The sequence below is a fragment of the Homo sapiens genome, chromosome 1 (genome assembly GCF_000001405.40).
Source record: "Homo sapiens chromosome 1, GRCh38.p14 Primary Assembly".
NCBI classification, from domain to species: domain Eukaryota; kingdom Metazoa; phylum Chordata; class Mammalia; order Primates; family Hominidae; genus Homo; species Homo sapiens.
This window is the reverse complement of record NC_000001.11, coordinates 14,270,042-14,283,484: the sequence shown is the minus strand read 5'-3', so window position 1 is coordinate 14,283,484 and position 13,443 is coordinate 14,270,042. Positions and strand designations below refer to the sequence as shown.

The window sequence follows — 13,443 nt, the reverse complement described above, 5'->3', positions numbered from 1 at the left end:
TCATACATTTATTGGCTCTTTGAATTTTTTTGTAAGAGACGTCTGTTTGGATCCTTTCCCCATTTTTTAATTGGGTGGAGTTATTTCCTCTTCATGTCAGTAGCCTCTTCTATCAATGTCCTCTTTTGGAGTAACCCTAGAAAATGGGGGTTTTCCTCTTAGAATTAAGAACATGTTTGTTTCTGCTGTGACAAGCAGGAGTTCAGCCTCAAAAAATAATTGAAAATCTGGGGACTTGACAAAATGCCTTGATAGAGTCTGCAAATCCAGAAGGAAAGAGTCAGACTTTAGGGAACTGTTTTGTCTGAAAAAGCTGCAGCCCAATTAATAGTCTGCGAAAGTGGAAAAAACAAAGAAAGAAAGAAAGGAAATGATCTGGCTTGGAAGTGGCAGGTTCTGGTAATACTGCTAATTGTGGTTTGCTCCTGACTCCTTCTTTGCTCTGCGAATGCTTCCATTCTGTTAGTCACCCTGGAGAATAAATAAACTCATTTGTCTGACCTCATTCTCGACAAGGGCAGATCGAAATTCCACGGGGAAATTACAGAAACAGCACTCCACTCCTTGCAAGGTGATCCTCTCTCGTTTCTTTCCCTCCAGGGCTCCCCTTCTGACATTAGCATCTATTATCTTCCTGGCTGAATTCTTCCCTAAAGGGCGCTCGGCATCCCTAGGTGGTTGCCAGTGTCAAGGCAACCTCACCAACTGTGAAGGTATCCTGAGCTCCTGGAACAGGCAGAAAAGAAACCTGGCAGGAAGATTTGGAGGTGGCTGCAAGCTGGCCTGACTTCTGCAGTGAAACAAGTCCCAGGAGCTGGAGGTACACCATGCTGAGCTCCTGTTTCCTTGGTAAGAGGGTCGGTCTCCAAGCAGGCAAGGCTGTTCACAGCCCCAGGGCTTCTTTGTGTTGGCTAAGGGGGGCATCAATGTCTTGGAAAGAATTAGAGCATTCTGTAACGAGAATCATTGGCCCCGAATCCCCAGAATGAGAGGGATACATGTTAACACCCTTGCAGAGCAAGATGCTTGAATACACTTGGGCACAAAGGGTCTAGAAGATAGACAATGGCTTCTGTGTTCTCAGGAATAAGTATTAGTGATTTGTCCTTGTACCTAGGTAAGAGGAGGGGGACTTCCTGGCCTAAGACACATCTTTCAGGTTGGAGTTGTAATGACAGTGGTAATTTTCAACTGTGGATTATTGTAAGCTGTTCCAAGCAAGCATGGATGACTCCATTTCATGGACTGCAGAAATTCTGTGCCTGTCCTGTCCAGTGATTGAGTCATATCTGGTGCAGGGTATGGACAAAACATCTGTAAAAGAAACAGCCCGTAGTATACAATAAGAAGGTAAAGATGTCAAATATTTTTATCTTTTATTTTTCAGGTAACAAAAATATTTTTTTTCCAGACAAAATCTCCCTTGGAAATTCACTATACTATATGTAAGAGATAAAAACAGAATTAAGCTGATCCACTGATTCCTTAAACTGTAGGTGTGGGGAGCTGGGGGGCTGGGATATTGGAACTGGGGTCATCAGCTCTTCCTGGTTTGCCCAGGACTTTACCCAAAAGTCCCAGGATCCCCCTCAGTCCCAGGCAAATTAGAACAGTAAGTCACCCTCGTGGAAACTGTTTTCTGGACCAGTCTTCTGTGGCTTCCCATGGGAGCCTTTTGGGGCTCCAGGAAGCAAAGTGACAGTAGGAAGCAGGGTCTCTGTTGTTCATTTCTTTATTCTCTATGCCAAGTTCTGTACTTTTCTTCCAGAAGGTACTTGATAAAATGTTGCTTGAATTGAAATAACATAGGACTCCAGAACATACCACTATCACCAGCATAGAGGAAATGCCAGGAAGATAAGGTGGGAGAAGGAAGGGTGCATATCAGCCTTCTAGAATGTTCTGTTTCTAGGCAAGTTGCTTCATGGGCCTTACTTCAGGACACCATGAGGCAGGATTCAGAGCTAGAACAGTGAGCTTGGAGTGGGAGCTGGAGTGATAATGCAGGTGTATCTGTCTCTAGCACCCTTGACCTTACAGGGGCAGTGTTGGGATTCTTGTTTTGCTCAGCGGCACTGAGTTTGTTTAAAGTCAGATGGCTGCAGTTTGCCTTCCAGCTGATTTGCTTTATGTGTGCAGAAGTAATTACTGAAATTGCTGCTGATAACAAATACATATGTGCACCTCAATTGCCTTTGCCCCTCCAATTTGGTGAAGAATGAACAGGGTTGGGGGATTTACCAATGTGGTGGCAAATACAGTTCTTCCAGGGAAACCCAACTAGAGTGGCTGTTGGGTTTTTGTTTTGACCAACTAGATCAAAGGAAACCAAGCAAGACGGGAGGCCTCTTGACATGGCATAGTGCCAGTTAAGAACATTTAGAAATCCTTTCGGAAATATCCAGTGAAACTGGTTCCAAGTCCCCTTAAACAAACATTCAGTGTTCCAAGCTAAAGTGGGATCCTGCAAGTTCAGAGCTTGGGCTCAACAGACTGTAGACTTGCTGGGTTTGAATCCTGGCTGTGTACTGCCTGTGTGACCTTGGACAGGCTGCTTAACCTCTGTGCCTCAGTTTCATCCTCTGTAAAATAGGAATCATAACAGTACCTGCCTTTTAGAGTCATTATGAGGCAGAAGTAGGATGAACCTGTATTGTACCTACAAAAATGCCTGGCATATATGTAGGTGCTTATAAACGTGGATTGTCATTTCACCAAATGAATGTCTGTGTATGGGATGTATTTGTAATAGTTTCCCAGGACTGCTGTAATAAGGTACCTCAGGCTGGGTGGCTGAAACAAGAGAAATTATTGTCCCACCATTCTGGAGGCTAGAAGTCCAAGATCAAGGTATCACACAAGTTGTTTCCATCCTGAGGCTATGAGAGAATATGTCCTGTGCCTGTCGCCTTGCTTCTGGTGGTTGCCTGGCAATCTTTGGTGCTCCTTGGCTTGGAGATGTATCACCCTGATCTCTTCATTCACCTTCACGTGGCATTACCTTGTGTGCCTGTCTGAGTCCACAGTTCCCCTTAAGGACACCAGTCATATCGGATTGGGCCCACCGACTCCAATGCAACCTCGTCTTTTTTTTTTTTTTTTTTTTTTTTTTTTGAGATGGAGTCTCACTCTGTCACCCAGGCTGGAGTGCAGTGGCGCGATCTTGGCTCACTGCAACCTCCGCCTCCCGGGTTCAAGTGAGTCTCCTGATTCTCCTGCCACAGCCTCCTGAGTAGCTGGGACTACAGGGGTGTGCCATCACTTCTGGCTAATTTTTTGTATTTTTAGTAGAGATGGGGCTTCACCGTGTTAGCCAGGATGGTCTCGATCTCTTGACCTTGTGATCCACCCACCTCAGCCTCCCGAAGCGCTGGGATTACAGGTGTGAGCCACCGCGCCCGGCCGCAACCTCATCTTAACTAAGTCCATATGCCGATGACCGTAGGTCCAAATAGGGCCACATTCTGAGACACTGTAGGTTAGGATTTTGACATCTGGATTTTTGGGGGGACACGATTCCCAATCCCTAACAGTGACTCACCTTCTAAACTGGTGGGGTTTTTGGCCTGCAGCGAGGGGATGTAGGGATGACTAGTGGGCCCCTGTACTTTCCAGAGCAGCTCCTGGGCCGTTCTTCTGTGACCCTCACCTTATGTTCTCGTCACTGCTGCTTTGAGGCTCATCTTGCTCAGTGAAGGCAACCTTCTCTCTCACTTTTTCTGCCTGTCTCAATGTCCAGGACCCTGCCTTGCACATAGCAAACATTTCATAAATATTTAATGAGTGAATGAATGTGCCATCTCATTTACTCCTCAAACAAGTCTAGGAGACGGGCATCCTTATCTTTGTTTTCTGATAAAGAAAATGATTTGTTCATACTCAGGGCTATGGCTTTGGACCAAGGTACCACTTGTATGACTGTGGGTTTTCTAGAACACTCCAGACCCCTGATAGTACTGCACTAACAAGAGATGTCTGCTTAACAGATTTCAAGTCCCTTTCATCCATCTCCAAGTGAGAATCTCCTGGCATCTCTATTGTTTAAAAATGCCTTCGTGTGACTCTGATGAGACCAGTTCAATTTGGGAGCAATTACCTAGGATGTGCACATGAGGGTGGAGAGGCAGAAAGCTCTTTGCCTGTGATTTCATATTTTCCTGTGAAGGAAACATTAGTTTAATGCCCCAGCCTCTCTCCACCCCTAATTCAGTGTCTTATCTGATTGGTGAATTTGGGATAAAGGATTGGGCATGCTTAACTTAGTTGCTCCCTCTTCCTTTCCCAGTCTGTCTGCTCCTCTGCCAGGCAATAAAAAGTCTTTAGTATTTAGCTACATTTAAATAAGTAATATGACAATTTTATGTGACCTTTATAATATGCCAAAAATTACATCATTTGAAACGCCTTATGTCTATGATAAATACAGATTAGATGGTCACTTAAAAAAGTCTGTGAGATGGTTCATAGTTTTGCAAAACAGACATTATCTACCTCCTGATTGACGCAGTGGCATGTTGGAAATAGTCTTGCCTGCCAAAAAAAAAAAAAAAAAAAAAAAGCTGAATTTGATGAAGCTTCTTGGTCTAACTATCACCAATTTACAGAAAATACAGAGGAGGGAAGAAAATGTCAACTGACAACATGCACAGACTAAAAAAATATCCAGAATGTGGGACATTTATACCGTAAATGAATCAGTTTCTCCAATAAATAAATGGCAAATATACAATAAATTAAAAAGCCATAGAGGTAAAAAGTCTTAGGAAACAGATCAACTGAATGCAATGTGTGAACTTGATTTGCATCCTCATTCAAATCAATCAACAGATAAAAAATGATGATACAATATGGGAAACTTAAGCAGTGACTAGATATTTAATCAGATTAAGAATGAAGACCAGGCGCGGTGGCTCATGCCTGTAATCCCAGCACTTTGGGAGGCTGAGGCAGGTGGATTACCTGAGGTCAGGAGTTCAAGACCAGCCTGGCCAACGTCGTAAAACCCCGTCTCTATTAAAAATACAAAAATTAGCTGGGCATGGTGGCGGGTACCTGTAATCCAGCTACTCAGGAGGCTGAGGCTGGCGAATCGCTTGAGTCCGGGAGGCAGAGGTTGCAATGAGCAGAGATTGTACCACTGCACTCCAGCCTGTGCGACAGAGCAAGACTCCATCTCAAAAAAAAAAAAAAAAAGGAATCAGTGCTAATTTTCAGGTGTGATAAAGATACTGTTATGTCGTTAAAGAACTCTTATCATTTAGACATGAATCTCTGAGAATTTCCTGGCATCTCTGTTTTTTTTTTTTTTTTTTTTGAGACAGAGTTTCACTCTTGTTGCCCAGGCTGGAGTGCAGTGGCGCGATCTTGACTCACAGCAACCTCCGCCTCCCAGATTCAGGCGATTCTCCTGCCTCAGCCTCCTGAGTAGCTGGGATTATAGGCACCTGCCACCTCTCCACATGACCCTGATGAGACCAGTCAGGTTTGGGAGCAACTGCCTAAGAATGTAAATAAACGTGAGGGTGGAGAGGGAAGGGAACATCTTTTCCTGTGAGTTTCTGTTTTCCTGTGAAAGAACATTAGCATAGAAATACCCCATCATCTCTCTACCCCTAATGCAGTAGGTGAATGTGTATAAATTGAAAAATTTTAAATTAGAATGATATAATATCCAGGAATTGCTCCAAAATAATTTGGAGGGAGCCACGGGTGTGAGGGGACATGAAAGAAAACTGACTATGAGTTAATAAATATCAAAACTGAGAAATGGGCACATAGAAGTCCATGTTCCTGTTCTTTCTTTTTTCTTTTTTTTTTTTTTTCAAGAGGGAGTCTCGCTCTGTCACCAGGCTGGAGTGCAATGGCACGATCTTGGCTCACTGCAACCTCCGCCTCCTGGGTTCAAGCAATTCTCCACCTCAGCCTCCCGAGTAGCTGGGATTACAGGCGCCTGCCACCATGCCCAGCTAATATTTGTATTTTTAGTAGAGATGCAGTTTCACCATGTTGGCCAGGATGGTCTCAATCTCTTGACCTCATGATCCACCCGCCTCGGCCTCCCAAAGTGCTGGGATTACAAGCATGAGCCACTGCGCCTGGCCGTTACTGTTGTTTCTAACTCGTATAGGTTTAAAAATAATTTAGGTGTTACAAATGGCATTGTGGCTGTGTTTTAAAAAGAGACCGTAGCTTTTAGAGATACATACAGATATATTTGTGGGTGAAATGATATGATGTATGGGGTTGCTTTAAAATAATTCAGGGTTGGGTGTGTAATAGACAAAATACAATTGGCCATACGTTGTTAATTTTTGAGTATATAATGGGCACAAGGGCGTTCTTTATATTATTTTCTCTACTTTTGTGTGTTTGAAATTTTCCCAAGTAAGACAAAGATTGTAAAAAATAGAAAGAAAAAGAGGAAGTTTTATTTTCTAAAACTTATTTTGTGAAGCTATGACAACTTTGATATCCAAGCCAGACAAAGGACAATTGTATAAGGAAAATTACAGGCCAATCTTGATTAATGTATAGGCGGAAGTCCTAAGTCAAATCTAAATGAAGTGTTAGAAAACTACATTCAACAATGTATTTAAAAAATTCAGCATGACAAAGGAATGCAAGATTGGTTCAACATTAGAAAATTATTAATGTATGTTATGGGGTGGCTTGTGTCCCTCCAAAAGATGTTGAAGTTGTGACCTCTAGTACCTGTGAATGTGAGCTTATTTAGAAATAAGGTCTTTGCAAGTGATCAAATTAAGATGAGGTCATTAAGGTGAGCTGTGATCCTACTGGATGACTGGTGTTTTTATAGAAAGAGATTTAAACACAGAGACAGACACACACAGAGGAAAGATGGTGTGAAGATGCAGGGAAAAGATGACCATCTACAAGTCGAGGAATGCCTGAAGCTGCCAGGAGGTAGGAGAGAGGCCTGGAACAGAGTCTTCTCCACATCCCTCAGAGGAACCAACCCTGCTGACACCTTGATTTCAGACTTCCAGCCTCTAGAACTGCGAGGCAACAAATTTTTGTCATATAAGCCCCCTCTGCTCCCTTGTTTTTGGTACTTTGTTAAGGCAGTCCCAGAAAATGAACACAATGTAATTCACCATCTTAATAAAGGAGAGAAAAACCATAAGATCTTCTCAACAGGAGTTGAAAAAACAACCCATAAAATGCAGTTACTGATGACGATGATGATGATGATGATGATGTTGATGAAGTAACCTTTAGCAAACTGGGAAGAGAAGGGAATTTCCTTAACTTGATAAAGGATACACACACACACACACACACACACACACACACACACACACACCCTTATAGCGAACACTATGCTCCATGAATGTGGGCCCCAAAAGGCTGCTGCAGGGAGCTCGTTAGCAGCAATGACAAGAGCAGCTGGGAGGGCAGCCTTGGCCTCATGGGTCCCCATCTTGTGTTTGTGCATCTAATTGGCAAAATCTCATTTGCCTTGAGAAACTCAGCCACAAAGCAGTCTGGAAATGTTTAAAAAGATTCCCAACATTTTTACATAGGACCATGGTTGAATAGGAGTTCAGAGAACCAAGCCTGAGAATCCACTCTATGCCCTGATAAGCTTGCTTACTTACCCCTGTTTACAAATATCATTTTCCATGTTTACTGTGTTGTAAAAAAGGCTGGAAAGCACTTTTCTAGAGACACTCTCTTGCACAGGTGCATCAGTTAAATATTCAAGAATGCTCATGGTAGCATTGCTCAAAATAGCAAAACATTAGAAAAAACCCAAATGTCTATTGGCTCTAAAATGTATAAATAAATTGTGGTATATTCACCAACAGATAGTAAATCGCTGTAAAATGAATGGCCTTATGAATACACACATGAATATGGATGAATCGCACAAACATAATGTAGAGAAAAATATCAAGTAACGAAAGAATACACAAAGAATTATTTCATTGATATCAAGGTCAAAATCAGTTAAAACTAATGTATTGTTTAGACACACACACACACACACACACACACACACACACACACACACACACAGTATTTACCACAAGGCTGCAGTTTTCACGATGCATCAGAATTACCTGGAGGGCTTTTTATAACCCAGATTCCTGGGTCTCTCCCTCAGAGTTTCTAACTCAATAGGTCTGGGAATGGGGCCAAAGAATCTGTATTTCTAATAAATTTCTGGGTGATACTGATGTTGCTGATCCAGAGACCACATTGTGAGGACTGTTGCTATGAAGGACTGCATGGGAATAATAAATACCAAATACTGGATAGTCGCTTCCCTGGTGGGGAGAGGGAGATGTGGTTAGAAAAGGTCACAGAAGAGACTTCAAGATATTGGTAATGTCCTATTTATTAAACTGGGTGGTGGGAACATGGCTGTTTGGCACAGGTGGTCTTTTAAAAATCATTCTTTAAAATGTATGTATGCATAGAGTCACATTTTTATAAATATAATCTATTCTATAATTTTAAAATTTACTAAAACCAAACCAAAAATGGTCCCATACAACCCTTACATTTCATGCTAACTTTTCTCTGCTGAATCATAATCTCAAATAAGAAATGACTTATGGACAACTGGGTCACGCTGAAGAAATATTAAAGACAGACCCAAAAAAAAAGAAAAAAAAAAGAAATATTTATTGAGCTCCCTCTAGATACCATCCATGAACCCATCCCATGCTGTGATGTGTGTATTATCACTCTGTTTTGTAGATTTGAGGAAATTGAAGAACAAAACGAGGAGTGACCTGCTCCCCACGTCACAGCTAATATGTGGCAGAGCTAGAAGTCAAACCCAGGGTGGATGGCTAAGGGTCAACTTTCAGTCACCAAACCAGTGTTTCAGAGCCTTGTCCACAGATCACCTGTGCCAAAATTGTGCACAGTGTTTTATAAGTAAAATTCCCAAGCCTCAAGCCAGCCTGTTCTATTAGGCTTTGTACAGGTGGGCCTTGGCATCTGCATTTTATTAAGCTCCCCGGATGATGCTTAGGTATAAAGTCAGAATCAGGACCACCATTTTGCCATATCATGGGGAACAACAGAACTCATGAGATCATTGGCCAGCTTGACTTTGCATGCGAAACATGGTGGAATCAGGAGGGAGGGTGGTGTGTTTGGTGAATTATACTCAGCAAGAGAAGCCAGTAGACCAGAGATACAAAACATTAAGGCAATGGTGATGTCAGCAAGGGAGCCACTTATCCCATTTCATACAACAAAGTGCTTCTACTGAAAAGGCTTGTAATAATGAGAGATGTGCAAACATCCATTTCATCACATTTTTCACGTACAAAAATATTAACCCCAAGGCAACGTTTGTAGCTCACAACCCATGTCCTTTCTCAGTGTTCAAAGGCAGACAACAAAGACATAGGAACCGTAGTGGGTGCTGCAGCCTTTGTGTGTCCTAGCACGGGTACCCTGGAAAGAAACACATAAATAGGAGAAGCAAACCTCCAGCCCTCCCAGATGGGAGAACTTCATTAGATAGCAGTAGGAATTTGGCTTCTTCTATGACTACAGAATGAGTTTTCAGTAATTTGCATATTTTGAATCTGTTACTTTCACCCAAGCGCTTTTACTTAGGAAATCCTTTTCATCAAAGCCCCAGAGAATAATCAAAAAAAAAAAATACTGCTCCCAGCTTTCAGACTTTGAGAAAGATCTTGTTTTGAGAAAGACAGTCTTGGCCATTAGAAAGGTCTTGACCAAGAGGAGATGAAGGAAAGGACGTAGCTATTGAGATGACTCAAAGAAGGAAAGATGGTCTGGCATCTTCTGTGTGGTTTAAGAAGGCTCTTTTGTGGCTGCTTTTTGAGGTGGGGAACACAGGATATTATTTTTGCCTTTCTGTATATTTATTAGCATTTTTCTTGCCATTAATTCTGGGCTAAGCTTTGAATATAAACTGTATATTTTTTTTAACTGTATATTTTCTAACATTTTATCAACCTCTGATTCCTCTGCCAGTAATTTTGTTATGGTTCAAAATCAAATTCCAATAATAGAGAAACACAAATAAGCAATTTAAAAATTAGAGGTTCATATACATATATCATTAAGACTTATTTCATAAGGAATTTTAGGGCCAGGAGACCAGAGAAAAAGCTGAAAATTAGGTAATGAACCATCTTCTCAACTTGGCAATTTCAACTGCATCTTCTCTGTATTTCTCTCCTGCTTGACAACTCATACCTTTCCGTTTCATTTCTAGATTTCCAGGTAGGGTCCAGGAAGCAATAAACAACATCTTTAGGCTAAATCAAGTTAGGTCTGATCCAACAACAACACAAATAAGCCAACACACCCTCATCTATATATTAAAGTTAATCTGCAATTCCCTAGCAGCATCAACATTGCCAGACTTAGTCTGATCCGTGTTTCATCCAGCCCAACAATAAATGTATTTGGAACCTGTTCTGAGGCTTGGGCAAGTCGTTTCCTCTCTCTAAGCTTCCATCTTCTCTACTTGTGAAATGAAACAGAACTATTAGTGATCTCTTATTCCTCTCACAGCTCTAACTTCTTTTGGAATCTCTCTGAATCTGACTGAATTCACAATGTTGAGATTTATTTATTTATTTTTATTTTTATTTTATTTTTTGTTTTTGAGACTGAGTCTTGCACTGTCACCCAGGCTGGAGTGCAGTGGTGCAGTCTCTGCTCACTGCAACCTCCACCTCCCGGGTTCAAGTGATTCTCCGGCCTCAGCCTCCCAAGTATCTGGGATTACAGGCACCCGCCACCATGCCCAGCTAATTTTTTGTATTTTTAGTAGAGACAGGGTTTCACTATGTTGGCCAGGCTGGTCTTGAACTCCTGACCTCATGATCCGCCCACCTCGGCCTCCCAAAGTGCTGGGATTACAGGTGTGAGCCACTGTGCCCAGCCAAGAATGTTGAATTTTATGTGCCTTGCTCTTTGGAGCAAGGCACCCATATGAAAGTCATGCACTAACATGCATGCAAAACATGAATGCTGAATATATTTTAATTTTGCCCATGAAAGTTTGATTGATTTGCTACACAGTAACATTTATAAAGTTGTGACTCATGTAGCCTAGTCCTCAAAGGATATGACATTTAAAGAGAAAACGCCAAACACAGTTTCCTAGACAGTAAAAGGCCTGGCTGCTTCTGTTTGCATTTCTTGAACTTCTGCCATCGCCAGGAGGAGAATATATCCTGGCTAGTCCACAGGTCCCAGGAGAAGGTGAGAGACATCTGCAGCAAAGCCACCCATGCCTGAACCCAGCCTAGATCAGCCAGCATCAGATAATCTAGATTCATGAGAACAAATGAGTGTGAGTTTGGGGGTAATTTGTTACACAGCACTTTGTGTCAAAAGCTAACTGATGCAGGGACATAGCAAAGTAATTAGTAAGCTCTTGTTCCACTCTATAAACACTTTAGGTGCTTCGTGTCACCAAATAATTCTGCAACACATTATCTCATTGATTCTTTACTATCACTCTGTGAAGTGTGAATCATTATGTCTACAAATGAGCACGCTGAGGCTTATTCTATGTTGTAGACATATTTTGGGATGTGCCTTCACGCTATAGTCCCTTACATGGGAATTCCTCTGCCTTAGTACTTGCTGAATGGACTTGCCTAGGAAATCTCTTCTGTAATACACAGCCCTGCTCTCCTATGGCTTGGATATAGCTGATTGGACCAGCAATGGGCACTCGATTCAACATCAACCAATCAGGGATGGCCAATGACCAATCAGATTCTCTATCTTGAGAATTAGAATTAAGATTTAGAGACAAAAACTATTTAGAGATGAAGGATCATATTGACTAGGGATTAGTTGCTTTGTTGGACCATGTGTAAGTAGATAAAAAGATGAGAGAGACAGAGAGAGAGGAAATAGACAGAATATACAATAAGGCAGAGATGACAGTTATATTTCCAGTCCTGAGAAATAGAAATAGAGATTTTGATTTCCGGTTGGACGGCTAGATTTCTGTTCCTGCCTCAGATTATACCTTGCAACTCTTTAGCAAACTCTTCAGTAAACTCTTCTTACTTGTGCTAGCTTGAATGGATTTCAGTTAATCACAACTGGGTAGCTAAGAGACTTCTTCACAGCCTCACAGTGTATAAGCGACTGATATGCGCTGAGGGTTCCTCCCCTTACCTGCTACCAAAATTTATATGCTGAAGCTCTACCCTTCAGGAACCTCAGAATACAACTATATTTGGAGATAGTCTTGAAAGAGGTAATCAAGGTAAAATGAGGTCATGAGGGTGGGCCCTAATCCAATATGGCTGGTGTCCTCATAAGAGGAAGATAGGACACAGACATACAGAGAGGGAAGACCCTGTGAGGACACAGGGAGAAGACGCCATTTGCAAAGTAAGGAGAGAGCCTTCGGAGTAGCCAACCCTGCTGGACTTCCAGCCTCCAGGCTGTGAGAAAATAAATTTCTGTTGTTGAAGCTTCCCATCTGGTGGTACTTTGCGATGGCAGCCGGAGCAAACGGACACTGTAGCAAACCCTTTCTCCGTGCGCCATGAGGGTGCTTTGCTTCTCAAAGGCTGTCCCCCATTTCTGGGCAAACTGTGTCATTACCAGGCACTATTCAAGTGAGGATGGAAGGGGTAAAAAATCAAACTCAGAGAAAATAAAGCATTGAAGGGAAGATCGAAGTATATTAGTGCCTTATGAGGTCCAGAAAAAAGAGGGTTATTGAGAGAAGGGAGGAAAAATAACCCTGTAGAGAGTGAGTGAGTTAATAAGCTCATTGAAAGCACATGATTAATGAATTATGAATTTCATCACTGATTCTCATCATTCAATTGCTTATTGTGGACTCATATTAATTAACATAAACTATGCTTCTATGGTAGGATAGACCTCCTCAGTAAGGAGGAAGAGGAGCCAACTTTACTGAGTCCTGACTATGTGCCAGGATGCCACCTTCATTATGTCATTCAATCCTCACAGTAATCCAATGCAGTAGATTCTGTTATCATTCATACTTAATGCATGTAATGGGTGAAACTAAAGCTCAGAGATGTGAAATATTTTGCCCAAGGTGTCTAAGATGGGAATGCAGCTCTGTGTAACATCAGAGTCAACATCAGTTGTTCTACCTCCCCATATCCACTATCTGCTCTTTTGATAATAACACATCCTACTTTTCCTTGGAGATGTCCTTTCCTCCATTTTCTCACACATGGTTTTAGTGGGGCTGGCCCCACTGCCGTAGATCCAAGGCTGGAGATTCCACACCTCTGACCAAAGTCATTGATCAGGGATGAGCACATGCTTCAAGCTAGTCCAGTTAAAGGTTGCTATAGTTTGGATGTGGTTTGTCTCTACCAAAACTCATGTTGAAATCTGACCCCCAGTGTGGTAGTGTGAGGAGGTGGGGTCTAGGGGAGGTGTTTGGGTCATGGAGGTGCATCTCTCATG

General features: G+C 42.1%; 1 protein-coding gene across 6 annotated transcripts in view; it reads right to left on the bottom strand.

Moving 5' to 3' along the window:
* KAZN (kazrin, periplakin interacting protein) overlaps positions 1-13,443 on the bottom strand; it is a 1,225,220-nt gene that overhangs the window by 834,559 nt on the left and 377,218 nt on the right. The window lies entirely within an intron of this gene.